The sequence below is a fragment of the Homo sapiens genome, chromosome 21 (assembly GCF_000001405.40).
Source record: "Homo sapiens chromosome 21, GRCh38.p14 Primary Assembly".
Lineage (NCBI taxonomy): Eukaryota > Metazoa > Chordata > Mammalia > Primates > Hominidae > Homo > Homo sapiens.
This window is the reverse complement of record NC_000021.9, coordinates 14,669,163-14,689,294: the sequence shown is the minus strand read 5'-3', so window position 1 is coordinate 14,689,294 and position 20,132 is coordinate 14,669,163. Positions and strand designations below refer to the sequence as shown.

General features: G+C 37.9%; 1 long non-coding RNA gene across 1 annotated transcript, besides 4 other annotated features; it reads left to right on the top strand.

Annotated features, from left to right (window-relative positions):
- Window positions 2,394–2,493: an enhancer, noted in NCBI's record as "active region_18278". NCBI's record gives its function as "activates an Ori minimal core promoter by ATAC-STARR-seq in GM12878 lymphoblastoid cells {active_cell/tissue: GM12878}" and the evidence as "EXISTENCE:reporter gene assay evidence [ECO:0000049][PMID:35858748]".
- Window positions 2,514–2,563: an enhancer, noted in NCBI's record as "active region_18277". NCBI's record gives its function as "activates an Ori minimal core promoter by ATAC-STARR-seq in GM12878 lymphoblastoid cells {active_cell/tissue: GM12878}" and the evidence as "EXISTENCE:reporter gene assay evidence [ECO:0000049][PMID:35858748]".
- Window positions 4,772–4,881: a silencer, noted in NCBI's record as "silent region_13215". NCBI's record gives its function as "represses an Ori minimal core promoter by ATAC-STARR-seq in GM12878 lymphoblastoid cells {active_cell/tissue: GM12878}" and the evidence as "EXISTENCE:reporter gene assay evidence [ECO:0000049][PMID:35858748]".
- On the top strand, window positions 10,696–12,610 carry LOC105372738 (uncharacterized). The gene is made up of 2 exons (XR_937589.2): window positions 10,696–10,817; window positions 12,215–12,610. It is a non-coding gene; the product is annotated as an uncharacterized LOC105372738 (long non-coding RNA).
- Window positions 11,305–11,701: a transcriptional cis regulatory region, noted in NCBI's record as "candidate enhancer chr21.70 targeted for multiplex CRISPR interference". NCBI's record gives its function as "positively regulates SAMSN1 gene expression in K562 cells {active_cell/tissue: K562}" and the evidence as "EXISTENCE:mutant phenotype evidence [ECO:0000015][PMID:30612741]".
- Window positions 12,611–20,132: the final 7,522 nt, after the last annotated feature.

The following is a 20,132-nucleotide window of genomic DNA, read 5'->3' as shown; positions in this document are numbered from 1 at the left end:
TTTTTTTCCATTTTCTATTTGTTCAGGTTTCTATAATATCTCAAGTCTTAAAATATTTCCCTTGAAATAGCAATAAGAGTGGTCTCTTTCAGCACACAGTGAATCTATTCAAGTGTGCCAGGTCACGCTTTGGAAAGTGTAGAGGGTGTAAGGAAAGTAGTAAATCCACAAATTCCTTTGCGTCCATCCACTCAACAGATACTTGACTCTGTACTTACATTCATGTTAGGTTCTTTCTTATTTAACTTGTCAGTGGCCAGTGTGTCTGTTACTTTGTTTATAGCATAGCCTTCTAGAGCTATCACTTTTCTATAGATTAATTTACACTTTCTAACTCCTACTATAGTTCTATGTACCCAGTCTCCCTCAATTACTTTTTGATGATAATTAAACCACCAAACGTATTTTCTTTAATATTTCCAAAGGAGGAAAATTGTAAATAATGACATTTTCCACATAAGCCAGAGACTTGAGTGTCAGCCATAATCTTGTCACTTGTTATGAGAGCCAAATCTACTAACAAAAAAGCCCCCAGAGGTGAGCACTGGAACCCCGTAGACCTTTGAATATGGAGAATTCGGGCCTAAATGTGTATCTGTGGGCATGTGAAACATCACTTGTTTTCAGAATGTCTCATACTGACTCCAGACAACCTTCTGGTGGAAACCTGTCCTCAAAGGCTAGTATCAGTCATATAATTGCTCCGCAGTCACCTTGCCTCTCATGATGTGAGCCCTACTCTGAGATCATTGTCCTAATTTATAGTATTTGAAAACAAGCAAAAGGATAGACTTGAAGATATATTGACTAAGTCTCTAGTCCAGGAGGTCAAAAATCTTCCATTGTGCTGAAAATGTCAAATTTAGCCCTTCAACATTTCTCTAAACAGCTCTCTGCAATTAAGCCTCACTAACAAAAATAACCAAATATTGAGAAAGAGTTGACAGAATTAAGTTTTGCATGAGGAGAATACTACTCTTACATTTCATTAGAATTCTGGCTAGAAAAAAACATGGTGCTGATGGGATCCCTGAGGCGTGTGAGTTAGAGAGCACCTATAACATAGCTTTGTGAGGCATGTGTAGGTGGGGGAAATTTTGGTTCAAATTCTAAAGGTGACAAATTGATATGAGCTTATTATTTATATTTCCAATTTGAGCATTATGTAAGACTGCCTCCCTCAGAATCAAGAGCACCTTGTTAAAAATGCCCCACAGGCCTGCTGGGCCATTCTCCTCTAGGGGTTGTATTGAGGGAATCCACCTTTTTTTAACAAGCTCTGCCAAGTGATTCTCATGTTCAGTAAAGTTTGAGGGCCGCTGATATACACTAAAATAGGAAATCAGAAATATTCACTGAATGCTGTGCACTGGGCTAGGTGCTGAAATACAAGAGTAAACAGACTCACTTCAAGAATTCCCAAAGGCAAATCATAACCCCATTCCTACAGTTATGCATTCCTACAGAGTGCACGCAAACTCTAAAGCTTGAGGACTGAGTTTTCAAGTAGGTTACTTTTAGTTTCTGTAAATGGAAATGCATTTTCTTATCAATTAAGCTAAAAAATAGTCAAATTTATTTAAGGCATTCATAAACTGTTCTCTTAGCTGATGAAAAAATTGTGCAAAGTTATTTGCTTAAGCCAGTCTGAGAAGTTCTGGCAGAACTGGTAGAGAAAGTTATATTTTGGGGCCCCATCTTCTTTCTTTGCCTGTTACATCTCCATGGTGTTTCATCAAGGAACCCCTGGACTCCTGGCCTTTCTTCTGCTTTCCTGTCATAACCACTCTAATGACATGAGTATAATGGAGAGAGCTAAGCTGATAGTCACAAGAAATGGGTTTGTGACTCACACTAAATATGTGGTGTGGCTTTCAGCAAATTCTTTAAACTCTTTCAGTTCCTTTATTTGCAAAAATAAAGGGTAAGGTTATAGGAGCCCTGATATTCTTCCTGGTCCTCTTTCCTCAGTTCTGGGTTGCAGGCAGGAATGATAACTATCCCCCTAGTATCATTGTTGGCTTCACCCAGGGGGAAGAGTGGATGTGTTTAAGGCTTATGCTGGGCATTCCATAACCGTTTCTTTATTCACTATGAAGAAACAATTTACTCAACACTTCACTTTACCTGCCCAAAGTGGAGCTATTTATTTATTTTGCAAGCACATACAGGGCCTTGTGATGCTCCAGGAACTGATCTAAGAGCTTTGCTTAGAGTTGACAGTAACTATTCATTTTTATAACAAGCCTGGGAGGAACTATTATTGTCCCCATTAGACAGATGGAAGAATGCAAAGCACACAGTCTGCTCATGGTCACGGACACCGGAAACCAGACAGTCTGGCTCCCATAGTCTGCGTTCTCAACCATTGTTCTGTGGTCTGTGCTGAAGGTCAGAGGACAGGGAATGGAGTGGAATGTGGGCAAGTCCACTACATTCTTTGCCAAGGACTCTGCATAAATTTGGTGTGGCAGAAGAGATCACAATAACTCTGAAAACATTTAAAATAATAAATGATAATGTACACGAATTCCAGCCATTGGGTACTGCTTTGGAAGACATATCAGTCTGGGGTCACACAAAAACCAGAGTGAGAACATTGAGAATGTGAAAATGAAAGTTGCAACACTTCTTAAACACCTTCTTTCGCACGTCTGTCTATAACCCTTCTCACAGGTTGCTTCTGCTCTAGTTCCAGCTCAGCTGAAATCCATCCTACCTGCAGCCTCAGATGCTAACTTTATCTTCTCTGTCTTAATTATTTAGATCCATATACGTTTACTTTTTGTAGTTTTAATAAAATCCCCTTTACAAGGTCTAAGAGATTACAAATGTAATGTGTGGTTGGGATAAATGTTGTTATAGAAATCATCACTAAGTCTCGTTTCTCATCTGGCGTCCCTCATTCCGGGGCCTGGAACCTTGATTGTGACAGTCAGGTTTTCTTTTAACTAAAGATTTTATAAGACCACAAACAACAAAATGGTTAATTAAGAATAATTATGTCACACCTGTAATCTCAGCACATTGGGAGGCTGAGGTGGGCAGATCACAAGGTCAGGAAATCGAGACCATCCTGGCCAACATGGTGAAACCCTATCTCTACTAAAAATACAAAAATTAGCTGAGTGTGGTGGTGCATGCCTGTAATCCCAGCTACTCAGGAGGCTGAGGCACAAGAATCGCTTGAACCCAGGAGGCGGAGGTTGCAGTGAGCCGAGATCACACCACTGCACTCTCAGCATGGTGACAGAGCGAGACCCCGTCTCAAAAAACAAAAAAACGAAGCATAATTATGGATTGGGAACAACTGTATCTGCAACTCAATATATAGTAAAATCCAGCATAATTATTTACTATAAATGGAATGATAGGTATTTCTAATATTAATTTCCAATTTTGCCTTGTGAGTAAATGGTTATACATAGCCAATTGGAACTAAGAAAAGAATTCTATTCAGGGTTGGTTTCAATTGCTAAATTTTTCTACTGCTAAAATTCTGCTGAATTTCTTAAGTAACATGTGATTGCACCCTGGGATGTCACTTCCTTATTTCAAGTTCCTTTTGCTATAAGCAGACAGTTAGTTCTCAGCTTTTGCTCAAGTAATTTGTCAGTGCATAATGTAACTAAAAACTTTCTATCATTTCGATTTTTAAAGGGGTTCACTCTCAGCAACACGCCTCTACCAAATGCCTGCTATTAATTAGTTATTGCCCTGGGGATGGTTTTCATGAGTGAAATATGGCCCTGAAGTTTTCTGTTTCCATCAAAAGTCTCTGTCTTCTTGCTCAGCTGACTTTATGCTCTTTGCCTCATCAAAGTTTGACTGAGCACTTACTAAGTGTTAGATACTGCTGGACTCTGAGATTACCAACAAGAATAAAATACAACTTCTTTTTTCTGGTAGCCCACTCTTCAAAGTGGGCCAGCTGCATACACACCTACAATATTATTTGAAAATTGTCATGATAGAGATATGCCCAGGTACCACAGCAAACTAAGATAAAGCTATCAACTGCATATTAGCATAGTGGAGGCTGAGAAACTTTCACAGAAAAAGTGACTTCTAATTTGATTTTGAAAAGGGAGTTGAAGTTGGACAATAAATGATGGTGAAGAGTCCAAAATACAAGGAGAAGCAACATGTGCAAAAACATGGAAAAGTTAGAAAGTTGGTGCAGTTAGAGGACCTTAAAAGGAGTATGATATGGCTGGGCATTAAGTGTTTGGGGCAGATGGTGACCCTGGAATGGCAGAGGTCTTTTGGGGTTAGATCATAGAAAGTCTTGCAGTTGACTGTACGCAGTGGCTCATGCCTGTAATCCCAGCACGTTTGGAGGCCAAGGTGGGCAGATCACAAGGTCAGGAGTTTGAGACCATTCTGGCCAACATGGTGAAACCCCGTCTCTACTAAAAATACAAAAATTAGCCGGGCGTGGTGGCGCACACCTGCAGTCCCAGCTACTCTGGGGGCTGAGGTAGGAGAATTGCTTGAACCCGGGCAGCCCGAGATCGTGCCACTGCACTCCAGCCTGGGCAACAAGATTGAAACTTTATCTCAAAAATAATTCTTGCAGTCTATGCTAAAGTCTTTGGCTTTGTTCTGAAGATATTCATCTTGAATGAATTCCAGGCCTGTTTTAGAATATGAAGGACGCAGTGCATTGTCAACCAAGAAAAATAAGCACTGATGCAGAAAAACCCAAATGTATATAGATTTTAGAAGGTATTTCAAGACTCAAACTCCAGATTAACATATGGTACTTTAGATGAAGAAAAAGCACTGACTTAGGTAGGGGAGTGGCATATCCACACCGGTCAGCAAGGGAATGAGTTTGTTGGTGCTAAAGTAAATGGCATGCAGTGAGCCTGGTAAGTAATTACAGAGCTGGTCAATAAGGCATGGGCCATTAAAAATGAGGTGGGAGTGATGGTGGCTTCTGATGTGAGTTTTATTATTCGATGTGGTATTACTAGAAAGTATTGATTAATTGGATATAGTGGAGAGGTGAAGTGGCCCAGAAAACAGGAAGTGAAATTAACTGACTTCAAGGCACCACAAGAAGTAGCTCAGTGTAGCCCAGGCTGAGACCCCAGATGGGTCAGAAGACCAGTGTTCGGCTAGTCAATGTTTTGCCCTTTTGTGTTTTATTTAGATTTCAAAAGGCCCTTGCTACATTTAAGAGATTGATTCCTCCCAGCCGGGCACGGTGGCTCATGCCTGGAATCTCAGCACTTTGGGAGGCCTAGGAGGGCAGATCACCTGTGGTCAGGAATTCAAGACGAGCCTGGCTAACATGGTAAAACCTCGTCTCTACTAAAAATACAAAAATTAGCTGGGTGTGGTGACATGCAGCTATAATCCTAGCTACTCGGGAGGCTGAGGCATAAGAATTGCTTGAACCCAGGAGGCAGAGTTTGCAGTGAGTGGAGATCATGTCACTGCACTCCAGCCTGGGTGACAGAGTGACTGAGACTCTGTCTCAAAAAACAAAGAAAAGAAATAGATTCCTCTCCCCTACCCTCCTTCCTTCTCTCCTTCCTTTCTTCCTCCCTGCCTCCCTCCCTCTCGCTTGTTTGTTTTTTTCCCCTTCCCTTCCCTCCCTCCCTCCCTGCCTTCCTTCCTTCCCTCCTTCCTACCTTCCTTTCTTCCTTTCTTCTTTCCTTCCTTCCTTCTTCTCTCCTCTCTTTCTCTCTCTGTCTCTCTCTCCTTTCCTCTTTTGCTTTCTCCATTCAGGCTACTATAACAAAACGCCTTAGACTGGGTAATTTATAAACAACAGAAATTATTGCTCATGGTTCTGGAGACTGGGAGGTCCAAGATCAAGGTGCCAGCAGAGTTGGTGTCTGATGTGGGCCTGTTTCTCATAGATGGCACCTTCTCTGTGTCCTAACTTGGTAAAACAGCCAAACAGGGTCCCTCAGGCCTCATTTTATAAGCACTAACCTAATTTAAGAGGTGACCTAATCACCTCCTAAAGGCTGCATTTCTTAATACTATCACATTGGGTATTAGGTCCTAACACACATTCTGGGGGAACACTACCATTCAGACCACAGCACTTCCTTCCTTTCCTTCCTCTCTCCCTGTTCCCTCCTTTCTTCCTCATTTCCTTTCTTTCTTTTGCTTTTGTTAACAGGAAGAGGAATCTACAGATTAGTTAAGCTAAAAATGTAACCCTACTATTGTCTAAAATTATAAATTTAATTAGCTAAAACAGTTTTTATAACCATTTTATAGCCACAATTATTAATTCTAAATATTCAGAGACACTAAAGTATGACATATGTAATATATTATTCTTGTCATATATTTATCCCCCTACTTGATCCACATTTTGTAGGTTTATTTTTAAGGCAAATTTAAATAACTAAAAATGTTTTCAGTTTTCTACTGAATATTTCTGTATAAACTTTTAGTCTGAACTTCCTTTCTTAATTCTAGGTTACAATAACATATTAATGTCTTTGAAGTGTCTATCTAATTTGAACATTGGTTCAATGGTACCCATACAACTACGTTTATGTACAGACATGTTAGATACACTCAGTCATCTAGGCTGTAAAACAAAAGCCTTTCTTTAGAGCTTTCACTTATAATGTGACAACTTTTTGAAAGAGTAAGATATTTGGCCTAGTTTTAAAGGCTTGGCAAAAAGTAGATGTGGAGATGCATGATCAGCCTTTTATCTAGCAATCTATTATTTCTAGAATTCTAGGTCAGGGATAGCACAGCTGAGAAAAAGACAACATTAAACTCACATAAATCTCACCTGTATATCTGACAGAATAATTAATAGCATTTTTGTTCCTAAATGATCTTCTCCCATATTCTTTGCAAAACAATAGAGTTTTCCATGTGCCACACAATATCCACCCAACTTGCATATAGTAAGGTAGAGAGTTTTCAGAAAGTATGAGTGGAGAATTACTTTTGTGAAAACATGGGCAGAGAATCACGACTCCTTAAGCGCATGCCAGACAATGATACACAGAAGTTCTTTGCAGGAGAATGAATCAGGCCTGTCATCTGAATAGGAGTACTGGGATGACAACAACCATCACACATTCTCAGACTGTTCTCTAGTTTGTTCCTGAATGGAAATTATTTTAATGGGAAATTCTAAAAAGCATTAAATTATCTGTATTTTCCCTTGATTTAAAAAGCAACATATACTGTTTCAGAAAACAATTGAAAATACAGCAATTAGAAAGTAGAAAATTAAATCCACAATTCTATCATTTAGAGAGAGAAAAACATAAACATATCCTTAAATACAAACACACATATAGACAAAGAATACTATATACAGAGCTGTACAAACTATTTATAAAATAAAAAATGCACATTTATCTATTTTAGTAATCTCAGTTCAAATATACACAGAGGGGAACATTGAAGGAGCACACAATAACTGATTTGTGGTTGGCCCACATTACCATTGTGAAATCTGGTGGGTTGGCAGAAATAATTTTTTTTTTACTTTATTTTTTTAAAAGAGTGAGCATTACTGTTTTTTGTTAAAGAGGGACCATTGAAAGTAAATTTTCTAGCAACAAAATTTACCCCAAGAAGGAATATTATGAAACAGACTCAAAGATTTTTATGAGATACGGACATAGTGGTTCTTGATTTTCTTATTTTATTTTATTAAGTTCTGGGATACATGCGCTGAATGTGCAGGTTTGTTACATAGGTATACATGTGCCATGGGGGTTTGCTGCACCCATTAACCTGTCATCGTTTCAAGCCCCACATGCATTAGGTATTTGTCCTAATGCTATCCCTTCCCTTGCTCTCCTCCCCCACAACAGGCCCTGGTGTGCAATGTTCCCCTCCCTGTGTCCATGTGTTCTCATTGTTCAGCTCCCACTTATAAGTGAGAACATGCAGTGTTTGGTTTTCTGTTCCTGTGTTTGTTTGCTGAGGATGATGGTTTCTATTTCATCCATGTCCCTGCAAAAGACATGAACTCATTCATTTTATGGCTGCACAGTATTCCATGGTTCTTGATTTTTCTAAGGCAACACGATTAATCATTTCTTCACATTTTGCCTTTGTTTCAAAAGGATTTGTGGTTTCTTAAAATAATACACAGATTTGTTTTGAAACAAACATTACAGATAAGGAGCTAAATTATATTATAAATGAGTGCATGTAATATGAAAAAATAATAACTAAGTTCAGTAAAGTTACTACCAATTTATAGCTTGGTGCCCAGTTCTGACCTTCATGTTAACCACCTCTGATGGGAAAGAAACAATGAGCTATCGTACATCTTTCATAGACTAATAGGAGTTAATATGGTCAGGATATTTTCTAGTCTTAAATCCTGAGAATGATTTGTTTTAATTGATACAATCTTTTCCAGGTTTTTCTCTATTTATTTATATATTTTCAAATTTTCAGAAAGTTTCTTTATAGAGCCAGCCTTTCCTGAGTGCTATTATATATGAGACGTTATACTAGAGCTTTACGTCGGTATTCTGATTTTTTCCTCCCAACAGCTCATTGCTATAAGTACTACTATTACTCTCATTGAAAGCTGAGAAAACTGACACTTGGAGACTTTTAAGAACTTGCTGAACGTAACCTCTCTAGCAAATGGGCAAACTGCTTTGGAATCTATGGCTTTTGAATTCTAAATCACATATAGCCCACTCTTTTCATTGGGTTTCTGTAGTGAACTTTAGTAAAAGTGTAAGGTTAGGCATAATATCTATGTGAGGTTGTTAGCTATTTCTCTGGGGAGCTAGAATATAGATTAAAAACACGCAGATAAAGCATCAGTGAAAATAGGTGGACATGGGTCCTCAAATTTTAGTATTAGTATTACCTGGAGAGTCGTTAAAACACAGCTTTCTGGACATCACCCACAGGATTTTTGTTTCAGTGAGTCTGAAACAAAAATTTGCATTTTTGCCCAAGAATTTGCATTTCTAACAAGTTGTCAGGCGATGCCTATGCCGCTGGGTCAGTGGTTCATAAACTTGAAGTCACATTGGAATCACCTGGAGGGAATTTTAAAATTCCTGGGCTTTATCTCTTTTAATTAATCTTGGATGGGTCCAGGCATCCATAGGTTTTATGAGTTCCCCAGGTGATTCTAATGTGCAGTGAGGTTGCATACCATTGTTTTACACTTTCCCTATTTAATATCACTTGCTTTGGTTGGGCTTGAGACAGGGCATTGAAAAAAAGACAACTTAAAATTAGATCCTTGACCAGTTCCTAAAAGGAAGGGATTATGCTATTGATTGAAAGGAGTTGGCAGGCAAGTAGGTGCCACGGTCATTGATATGGTTTGACTCTGTGTCCCCACCTAAACCTCACCTTGAATTTTAATAATCCCCACGTGTCATGGAGAGACCCAGTGGGAGGTAATTGAATCATGGGGGGGTGGGTCTTTCCATGCCGTCCTCATGAAAGTGAATACATCTCACAAGATCTGATAGTTTTCTAAGGGGGAATTCCCCTGCACACTGTCTCTTGCCTGCTGCCATGTAAGATGCCCCTTTGTTTTTCCTTCCTCTTCTACCATGATTGTGAGGCCTCCCCCGCTATGTGGAACTGTGAGTCCATTAAACCTCTTTCCTTTATAAATTACCCAGTCTCAGGTATTTCTTATAGCAGCACAAGAAGGGACTAATACAATCCTTTACTGCAAGTTTAACGTTCTTTCCATTGTACCTTGAAGGGCCTGAGAATCCATAAAATTAGTTCAAAATATGCCCTCCCGACATGCAAACGAGGTAATTCAATAAAAAAAAATGTGTTTACCCCTCTTGTTATCCAGTTTTTCTCAAATTGATGTTTTTGACTTTGGCTTCAAGAGGCCATGCTGATCTCTTTGTTCTGACAGTAATAATTTGACAAGCTTCTAACCTCCAGAGACTCCTCCTTAATATAATCCAAGTGCTGTTTGCTATAGCAACATTCAATTTTCACACAACCTGCTTTTTCATACATTTTACTGAAATATCCCTGATCCATCTTGCATATGTCAAATGCAGAATGCATGTCATCCTCTAACTAAGGAATATCACCAGCCCTTGTGAAGTAGGGCTGTCCCACAGTCATGAGATTCTTTCGGGCTACACCATCATTGTCTTGTATGTAGTGTGGGTGTGTGGGTAGGGGTGGGGATTGGCCAATTATGTCAACATTTTTTATTGTTGCATTTTTTTATTATGTCATAAAAGTGGGTGTTTCCAAAGGGCAAAGTATAATTGAAAATTCTATAAAATGTTTTAACTCTTGGGATGAAACTCTTCTTATAAGGTCCAACTCTATTGTTTGACTTTTATACCTTTGAATTTTAGTCATATGTTCAGGGGTTTACTTTGCTCAACAAGGTAAATCAGTATAGTAGGCAACTTCACTACAAATAGTTATGGGAGTAATTGCTCACCTGAAATACAGCATCTTATTTTTATATTTGGAGCTTCTGTGACCTAAATTCACTGCTTTAGCACCAAAGGCTTATTTAGCAGCATACAGCAACATAACTTGCAGGGAAGTGTTCAAGGCTGTAGTATCGATATTTATACAGCAGGAGGGAATCAAATCATGAGCATAGCACGTGGGAATTCAAGGGAAGCATTGGTTAGTACCCACCGGAATTTCAGGACAGGGATTGTGACAGAGGTAACAATTGAGATGGCTGTTGAATTATCAGGTGTTGACCAGTGAGCAAGGAGGAGAAGGGCATTCTAGAGATGCACAGACTAGAGCAGAGCAATACATCATGCAAGATCCAAGGTTTTCCCTACGGTGTGTGCAAGAAGGCGAGTCAGGGTGCCACAAGAGATAGGGTAAGATAATGTGACATAAATAAAATTTGTAAGCCACGTGTTGGAGATTCTGTCAGAGTCTCACCATATCTTTGTACCTTGCCCAGTTCACTGTGCTCCAGGGCCAACTTCAAGCTGTGCCTTGGGGCTTTGTTGGATCTCTAGAAGGTTCTCTGGCCATTCTTGGTAGGCCAGAAGTGCTGAAGGAAGTGAGTCCCCCCGTCCCATTCCCAAAAGTGCTGCGGAAGTGAGTCCCCCCATACCCAGAAGCAGACTGACTAGATTTGTTGTATATGTATCCCACAACCTTCTCCCTTCATTAGGATAACTCGGAGACATGAGTTTTGTAGCAATTCCCCAGGATATTGTAGCAGGATTAAGCTCTAGTCTTCCCTGCCTTCCTGTCTGTGTATCAGTTCCCCATTCCCTTGTTGGTGTTCGTTGTGCTCCCAAATAAACTATCAGCGTGTAAACCCTTATTCAGGGTTGCTACTGGGGAAATTTGTGCTAAGGGAACATGATAAGGAGTTCCAGGAAGGAGTTTAAAGGTTTTAGATAAAAGTAGTTTCATCATATTTTGAGAGATCACGCTGACAGTGAGGGGATAGATAAAGTGGATGTGAAAGAGAATAGAGGCAGCAAGACGAGTGAAGAGAAAATTGCCAGAGTAAAGGGAAGATTTCAAAGACTGGTTTCCAGGACTGGGGATCGAGGAGTGGAGCTAGACAGCAGTGGTGGCTGTGGGATGTTAAGCAGTAGACAGAGTCAGCTGAATTGAGGCCGTAGGGAAGACTGAGAGCGAACGGTCCAAGAGATAGCACAAGACCAGGAGAATGGTTTATCCATTCAAGGGAGGAGCCAGCTCTAGGAGTAAAGAAGCTCTCTCTCAACTGTGCTACCAGCTCCAGATAGATGATGTCCGCAATGAGTGTATTAGATTGGAAAAATTTGAATCATTAATAACCTTCAGCAAATCACGTTCCATAGAATGATGGGACATAATTCTAATTATGGTAGACTGAACAATAAATGCAGTGACCAAGTGATTATAAATTAGTCTTTGCAAGAACATGGCTTTCAGGGGAAGGAAAAAGAGAATGATGGTTAATGGAGGAAGGTTTAAGGTCAGAGATGGTGTTTTTTAAAGACAGGAATGGCTTGAGCTGATGTGTAGATGGCAGTGATATAACAGGTAGAGGCAAAGAGGCTGAAAATTCATCAACTGATAGTATAAGGTCTTTGTTCTGAAAGAGATAGCAGGAGGGAATGAGATCATAAGCAGAGCAAGTAGTTTAACCTCACATTGTCAAGTGTTGCTGACATACCAGACCCATGAAGGGATAAAGGAAGTCAGGAAGCTGATTTAAGAGGGATGTGATATTTGTAATCTCTTACTATGGGTTTTTTTTTTTATACAGGCATTCCTGTAAACTTATATTCATGAAGAAAGTCAGAGTACTTGTTGCAGATGCAATGCTAGGTCTTCAGCCATGTGCTATAGAAACAGAAGGTGACAAATATAACCAAGGATTGGGAGGAGAAAAAGAAGAAAGCCAATTTGGGAAATGAGACTGTAAAGTTTATAATGCTACTGATTTTCAAACATTTTCAGAAGCAATGGAAAGAAGAATGCGAAGAAAATGAGTTTATTTTCCAAAATGCTTTTTTTGTTATTGTTTTGCAATTTCCCTTTGTTAACATCATATAGGTTATGGGGGTTTCTGTTTTGAAAAAAATAAATACTGCACCGTGTGTGGATTGCTACTCAGCACTCAGCAATAAACAAGTCAATGAATGCTCTAGGTTTTAATGAATTCGGTTTTACTTCTTTACATCTACTTATTAGCTTCTCTACCTAAGATGTGTACACGAATCACTCTAACATCCAGGCTTCCCTGCAAATTAAAAACAACAACACAACACAGAAAACAAAAACCACCCAGAGCTCTCAAAATTAATCCTAAATATAGTTTTGCCTGGCCCCTGTGCAACGTACAGGCTTAGCATGTTTCAGTTTTTCAGGTCTTCTTTTTGGCGTCTAATTTCCTGAAGTTGAAGAGACAGCTGTCTGGGGGCCTGAGACTTAAGATGATGAACATGCAGATATCAAGGAAATGGTTTCCTTACAGCAACAGCTCCTTTTAGATCTGAGCATTTCCTCATTCTCACCTGACTGTAGAACATTACAAGTTTCCATTTGTGCTGAATTCAGATACATTCTTTCTTATTGGTGGAGGCAGTTAGGGTTAACTTCTTTTAGCCTGCTTTATGCAAGGCAAAATTTAATCAAAGTGATCTCCAGATTCCAGTAATATGACATTTCAACTGTGTATCCTGAAGAAAAACAGTGCATACAGATGTTTGCAAATGAAACCAGAGGAAAATACTAAATCTTTATTTTTTTCCTTAGCATTTAAAGAAAGCTTGTTTTTATTTCTGGACAATAACAATTTCTATGTTAGCCACTGTTTCCTCGTCAGTCTGAGAGAAGTAAAGCATTTTGTCTTCTCTGGCAGTTGGGGTTTCTAACGAGAGTCTGCTTATCCGCATATGAAAACAGGAAGTGCTGTTGGCTGGTGACTGACTTCCTTCACTTACTACCTGCTTGTCTAAAGTTTGGGCTTCATAAAATTGGTTCAATCTTCATGGTCCAAGTAAAATAGAAAATGAAGCAATTAACCATTTAATTTAAACGATATTAACAGTCTGAGTAATTCTAATATCGATCACTTTCACACCCTGAATTACTGATGAAGAAAAATCTATAAAGTGGAATATGGGTTATGATCCAGTGCCAAGCTGGGCCATTTAGGACATGAAGTGGACAATTTGGTTTAGTGTTGGCAAACAGCTAAACAAGCCATCTTCAATCATTTGCGACTTGCAATAGTAACTTAATGTTGTTTGATTTTATTTCATCTTCCTATTTCACTTTTTATGTTCTATATGGCATTTTTGCTTTTTAATAAGTAACTTTACACGTACTGAAGCAACTACATGTCACTTTGTTTATATATATATGTATTTTTTGAGATACAGAAAAGTCCTCTAATTTGCCTGTAAGGCAGTTTTGAAAGTTGTTGCTTTAGGAACAGAGGAGTGTAAGGAATCCTACAGAGAAAGTCCTAAGTCATATCTTGGAGATAAAGAAACTGAGGCCAAGAGAAATGAACTGCCTGAAATCAAACCACTGGTTACTGGTAGTTGCAGGCTGACAACAAAATGACTGCAATTGTTCTTGGTGTCTGTGTTTACATCCATTGCAATGTGACTTTGAATCTGACCATGCACTGTGACTTTCTTTGACTGATTGATAGAATTTGGAGAAAATAAGGATGCCAGCTCAGCAGCATAATTATAATATAACTAATGCATAATTTATTTAATTTACCTTTTCTTAAATTCCCAGAATATTTTATAAAACTAGCAGTTCTCATAGGGATTTTTCTTTTCACAATTTTGGCTTCCAGCTATCTGGCAAATTTTCAAAAATTTGTTTTCTTTGCTTGTATATTGTATAATTTCTTCGTATCTTCTACCTCATAAATCCTCCTAAAATGTTCTTTCCTCTCCTTTTTGTTTTTGAGTTTTTAGGAACATCTTTGGCTGAGGTGGAATTTCTGACTATGTTATTGGGCACTACTTTGTGGTACCAAGTTTTAATCCACTTAACAGCTTCCAGCATATTTACTTTTTTTGGCAGGCAGGTGATGCTCTCAGCTATGTCCACACCAGCAGGCAAAATTGCAATAAGCAAGCAACTCTTGGAATGAATAAAAAAAATCCTTCACAAGGGGGAGGTCAACCTGTTTTTGATAAATTTCAGTTTGTTGTCACCCGAAGCTATGCACGTTAGCATAAGGCATTATCATATTTGCAGCCCAAATAGAATCCTGTATCTGACACCCTCTTTTTCTTTAGATGATTTGCTCGTTCTTATATGAAAGGCAGTAAAATGTAATAAAATGAGCACTGAACTTTATGGTAAGAGCCTGAATTCGAATTCTAGATTATCCACCACTGAACTTTATGATAAGAAGCCTGAATTCAAATTCCAGATTATCCACCCATTAACTGTGCCACTTTGGGGAAGTCACTCAACTTTATGGTAAGAAGCCTGAATTCAAATTCTAGGTTATCCACCCATTAACTGTGCCACTTTGTGGGGGTTACTCAACTTTTCTCAACCCCAGTTTTTTTATTAGTTATTTTAGAGAATAAGGTAAAATATTGTAAAGCATTTTGTAAGCTGCAGACTCCAGTATCTACTTTTCTTCTGAGCTCCATACATTTTCAATTGCCTGTTAAACATTGATGGCTAAATGTCCCATCCAAAATGCATTTCGATGTGCACTACTCAAGCTTTCATTTTCTTCCGAATTCTCTAATTCTATTAAATCATACTAATAATTTGCCAGTTACCCAGGTTGCAAATGTTTAAATATGGTTTTGTTGCCACTCTCTCATTTATCCCTTATAAGTTATTCTTTTATTTATTAATTTTTGCATCCAGAAAATGCCTATTAATCACCTGCTGCCTTTTCTGTTGCTGTACATCCTCCCTCTTTCAATCGCATCTCTGCATTTCAAAGCAGGCTCTGCTCCATTTTATCTCCCTGTTTCACACTCTGCTCCTCTGGCTTTGGCATCTATCTTATATCTCTCAGCCCAGACGTTGACCTGATTGTATCACTTCTTGCTTAGTCTGCTTTTCTGGCCCCAGTGCCTCTTGTCTCTGATAAGAAGCGCTCCTTTGTTCCTAGTCTGTGCCCTGTAGGACCCCCTCCTCCCCATCCCAATGGTCAGCTGGGCCTTCTGAGCCAATTTGTTAGCATCCCCATTTCCATGATGGCAGGAAAGGCTCAGATGCTACAAGTGACACTGAGGATGTTACCTAATTTTAATAAATATCATTTTCTCATTTTAAAAATGAGACGGATATACCTCACAGGGCTATCGTGAAATGAGAGAACACATGACTGGCACAGAGGAGGTACTCACAACCTAAGTGTTCTTCCCAAAGATCTAGCTATAGTTGCATAATACTAAACTCAGTACTCCACATCTGACCATTCAAAATAGAAGCTTAGAATCTAAGTAGGGAGATGAGAATAAAATGTTTAATAAATTTGTGTATAGAGATAGACTATGTAATGCAGTGCAGGTGGATGAGTACAAAGTACAAAAGTGAGTAGAAAAAAGTGACTCAAGAAAGACAGGCAGATATGATTTGTAAAGAAACTATTAGGTGTGAATTGGTGAAAATAAAGCAGGAGAATATTTTAGGCATGAGGAATTAGGAAAATTTTGAGAGCAAAACAAATTATGGCATTGTGGTATAAGTCTGGTAAAATGAAGAGGATGGGTTTGGGTTAAAGATCCTATTTGGAGAGGTAGAGTGGTGCTGATTATTGCAGACTTTCATTTTTGTCCTAGGAATAGAGAAATATATGTGAGCCAATGTTTTGAATATTATCAAAATTTTACAATAAAAGCAATGTGTTTTGTCACATTTTAAAGAGGCAATTAGAAATACAATGAATTTGTAAATCTGTTGATATTATATTAAACAAGTAGTCTCTAACCCCAGTTTCAAAATGCATTATTTTAAATGTGAAATAACATTTGTGAAGAAAAAAATTGACTGCATTTAGGCCATCATCCGTTCAATGGAGGTTTCCTGTGGTTTATTTATGAATATTAGTTGCTGTCCCTTTCTGTGTGAATTGGGCCAGAAAATCACAAATGCAAAAGTCTTTGGGATTGTCTAATTCAAGCACTGCACATTTTACAAGTGAGGAAACAGAAAGGGAAGTTAAATTCTTTCATGAGGTAATGTGTAGTCAGTGGCTAAATGAAACTCAAACTTTTCTTTAGATTTTTAATCTAATGCTTTAAAAATATATACTTAAGAACCTAAGATAGCCAAGATATTATTAAGGAAAAACAGCAGAGCTGTACCAGATAGGAGGACTTACTCTAAAGCTGTAGTAATTAAGAAAGTATAATATTTGCACAAAGACAAGTGGAATTATGGCTATTCCAAAAATATATCCACGCTAAAATAGTGCCTTGATATGATAAGTGTGTCATGAATTTCTATAGGAATCAGTGGTCTTCTTAAAAAATTGTGCTGGGTTAATTGGATATATCAATGAAAAACAAAAAAGAACCTCAACTCCTACCTCACATCAAACACAGAACTGAATTTGAGATGGATCACAGACCTAAAGTGTAAAAGCTAAATCAATAAAACTTCTAGAATAAAGCATGGAGAATATCTTCACGACTTCGAAATGAGTAAAGATTTCTTAATAAGACACAAAAAATGCAAAAAAAAAAAAAAAAGATTAACAAATTGGATTACATTGAAGTTGAGAACTTCTGTTTATAAAGTGATAAAATTAAGAGGATGAGAAGTTAGCCACAGGCTGGGAAAAGATTTTTGTAACATGTATTTATTTGTCAAATTACTTATCAACAGAATAAGGAACTCATACAAAAAAAAAAAGCAGATAACTTAATTAGAGATGTGTGATCAATTTTAACACACATTTCATAGTGTCAAAATGGCTAAGAATCATATGAAAAGGGCCTCAATATTGGTAAAGCCCCAGTTAAGACACACATCAGAACAAAACATTAAAGATGAACAATACCAAGATTTGATGGTGATATGAAACAGCTAGAATTCTCCTTCATTGTTGATGGGATGCAATCACTTTAGAAAATGATATGCCAATATCTACAAAAGCTAGGCATACACCTAACCCATTACCCAATTTTCTATTCTTATATAGAGAGGTAGATAGATAGACATGTTCTTATCTTAGTTATATATATATGTGTGTGTATATATATGTGTGTATATATATACATATATACATATGTATGTATATATACATATATACATATATACATATGTATGTATATATACATATATACATATATACATACGTGTGTATATATACATATATACATATGTATATATATGTTTGTATAAAACCAAAGAGAAATTAGTGCATATTTCCATCAAAAGGTATATAGGAATGCTCAGAGGAGCTTCATTCATGAGGACTGAAATAGGGGAAAATAACCATTCTCAATCAATAGTAGCAAGGGTAAATAAATTATGGAATAGTTACATAACAGGATGCCACATCATATGAAGAAGAATATACTAGACCATGAATGAATCTCAGACATAATGTTGAATAAAAGAAGTCAGATTTTTAAAGTATATGCTGCATGATATAATTTACATTAAAATAAAACAGGCAAAACAATACATGATGATAGAATAGTGATTACCTTGGGTTGGAGGTGGAGATGGTACTGGCTGAGAGGGACACAACGTGGTCTTCTGAAGCACTAGAAATTTGTATCTTCATTTGGATGGTGGTTCTATAGATGTGTCTATATGTAAAAAGTTATTGAGCTATATTGTACATTTACTATATGTAAGTTTTGTCTCAATTTTTAAAAAAATGACAGTGATGTTATTCCCTGAAAAGAAACAATTACCATTAAGAAATTGAGAAGAAAATTGTCTCTTATTTTTTTTATTCTAAAAACTGCTTCAAACATTTGCTCTTCAGAGGTTGTCATCCCAGCACCATGGCTCCCAATCTTTATCTCATCATAGTACATAGATAATCTGATATTTTTATGACACATTGACATATTACACAGCTGGAGGAGAGAGAGCTAAGATCTCTAGCCCTTCCAGGCTGTGCCTGGTGGCCTGGAAGAATCAATATATCAGTGTGTGAGTATTTTGGTTTGGCCAATTGCATAAAAATATAGACTATTTTAGTTTTATCACACAAAACATCAGGCTAAAGACTGATACAGCCTCAGGCCATTCTGGATAACTTGGTATATAAATGCTGCATCAACAAAAAGAGAAATTTGGAGAGCTGACATTGTTGGTTCTCTCATGGCATGTCTTTTTTTATACCAAATTTGTACTGTACCGAATGCAAAGAGACATTAGAGCCATGTGCCCTTCCTAGTGTCATGAAGTCTGTATTAGTCTGTTTTCATGCTGCTGATAAGGACATACTTGAGACTGGGCGATTTACAAAATAAAGAGGTTTACTGGACTTACAGTTCCACATGGCTGGGGAGGCCTAACAATCATGGAGGAAGGCAAGGAGGAGCAAGTCACATCTTATGTGGATGGCAGCAGGCAAAGAGAGAGCTTGTGCAGAGAAATTCCTGTTTTTAAAACCATCAGATCTCATGATACCCATTCACTATCACGAGAACAGCACAGGAAAGACCTGCCCCCATGATTCAATCAGTTCCCACCAGGTCCCTCCCACAACACGTGGGAATTATGGGAGCTACAAGAGGAGAGTTGGGTGGGGATACAGAGCAAAACCATATCAAAGTCTTATCAGGGAAATAATTTCATTTTAGGTGGAAAAAAATGCACTATTCTGGAGTCATCAGCATGATGGAGCTAATGTGGAGTGCTCTCTGGGGCTGGTGATCAGGCCTTCTCCTGAAATTTGTTTTGTAGAAGACGCCAGTTATATCTTTTGATACAGACTTATATCTATTAAATTCAAACCTTAAAGGGCTACTAATTTTAAAAAAATGACAATTTTATTTGTACTCATAAAATATTCTTTTAAATTAAATACCTTTTTTCATTTAGTTTCATTTCATCAGACAGCTTAAACATGTAATTTATTCTAGTTTGCTTACAAAGTTTAAAGCCATCTTTTATTCACTGTAGTTTTCTACAGGAATTTGGAAAAAGAGGTAAAAACCTTGAGATTAACCAGTCCTATGCCACACACTTTTACAGATGAAGTTGAGGTGCAGAGACCCTTTCCCTACTAGCATTATAGGGAAATGATAGACCCTTTCCCTACTAGCAAACATTTTTCTTCTCTATTGTATCTGCAAATTACTAATTTCTAAAACACATTTCTTAAACTTCTTAAAAACTTGGTGATTCCTCAAGGATCTAGAACTAGAAATACCATCTGACCCAGCAATCCCATTACTGGGCATATACCCAAAGGATTATAAATTATTCTGCTATAAAGACACATGCACATGTATGTTTTTTGCAGCACTATTCACAATAACAAAGACTTGGAACCAAACCAAATGTCCATCAATGATAGACTGGATTAAGAAAATGTGGCACAAATACAGCATGGAATACTATGCAGCCATAAAAAGGAAGAGTTCATGTCCTTTGCAGGGACATGGATGAAGCCGGAAACCATCATTCTCAGCAAACTATCACGAGATCAGAAAACCAAACACCACATTTTCTCACTCACAAGTGGGAGTTGAACAAAGAGAACATGTGGA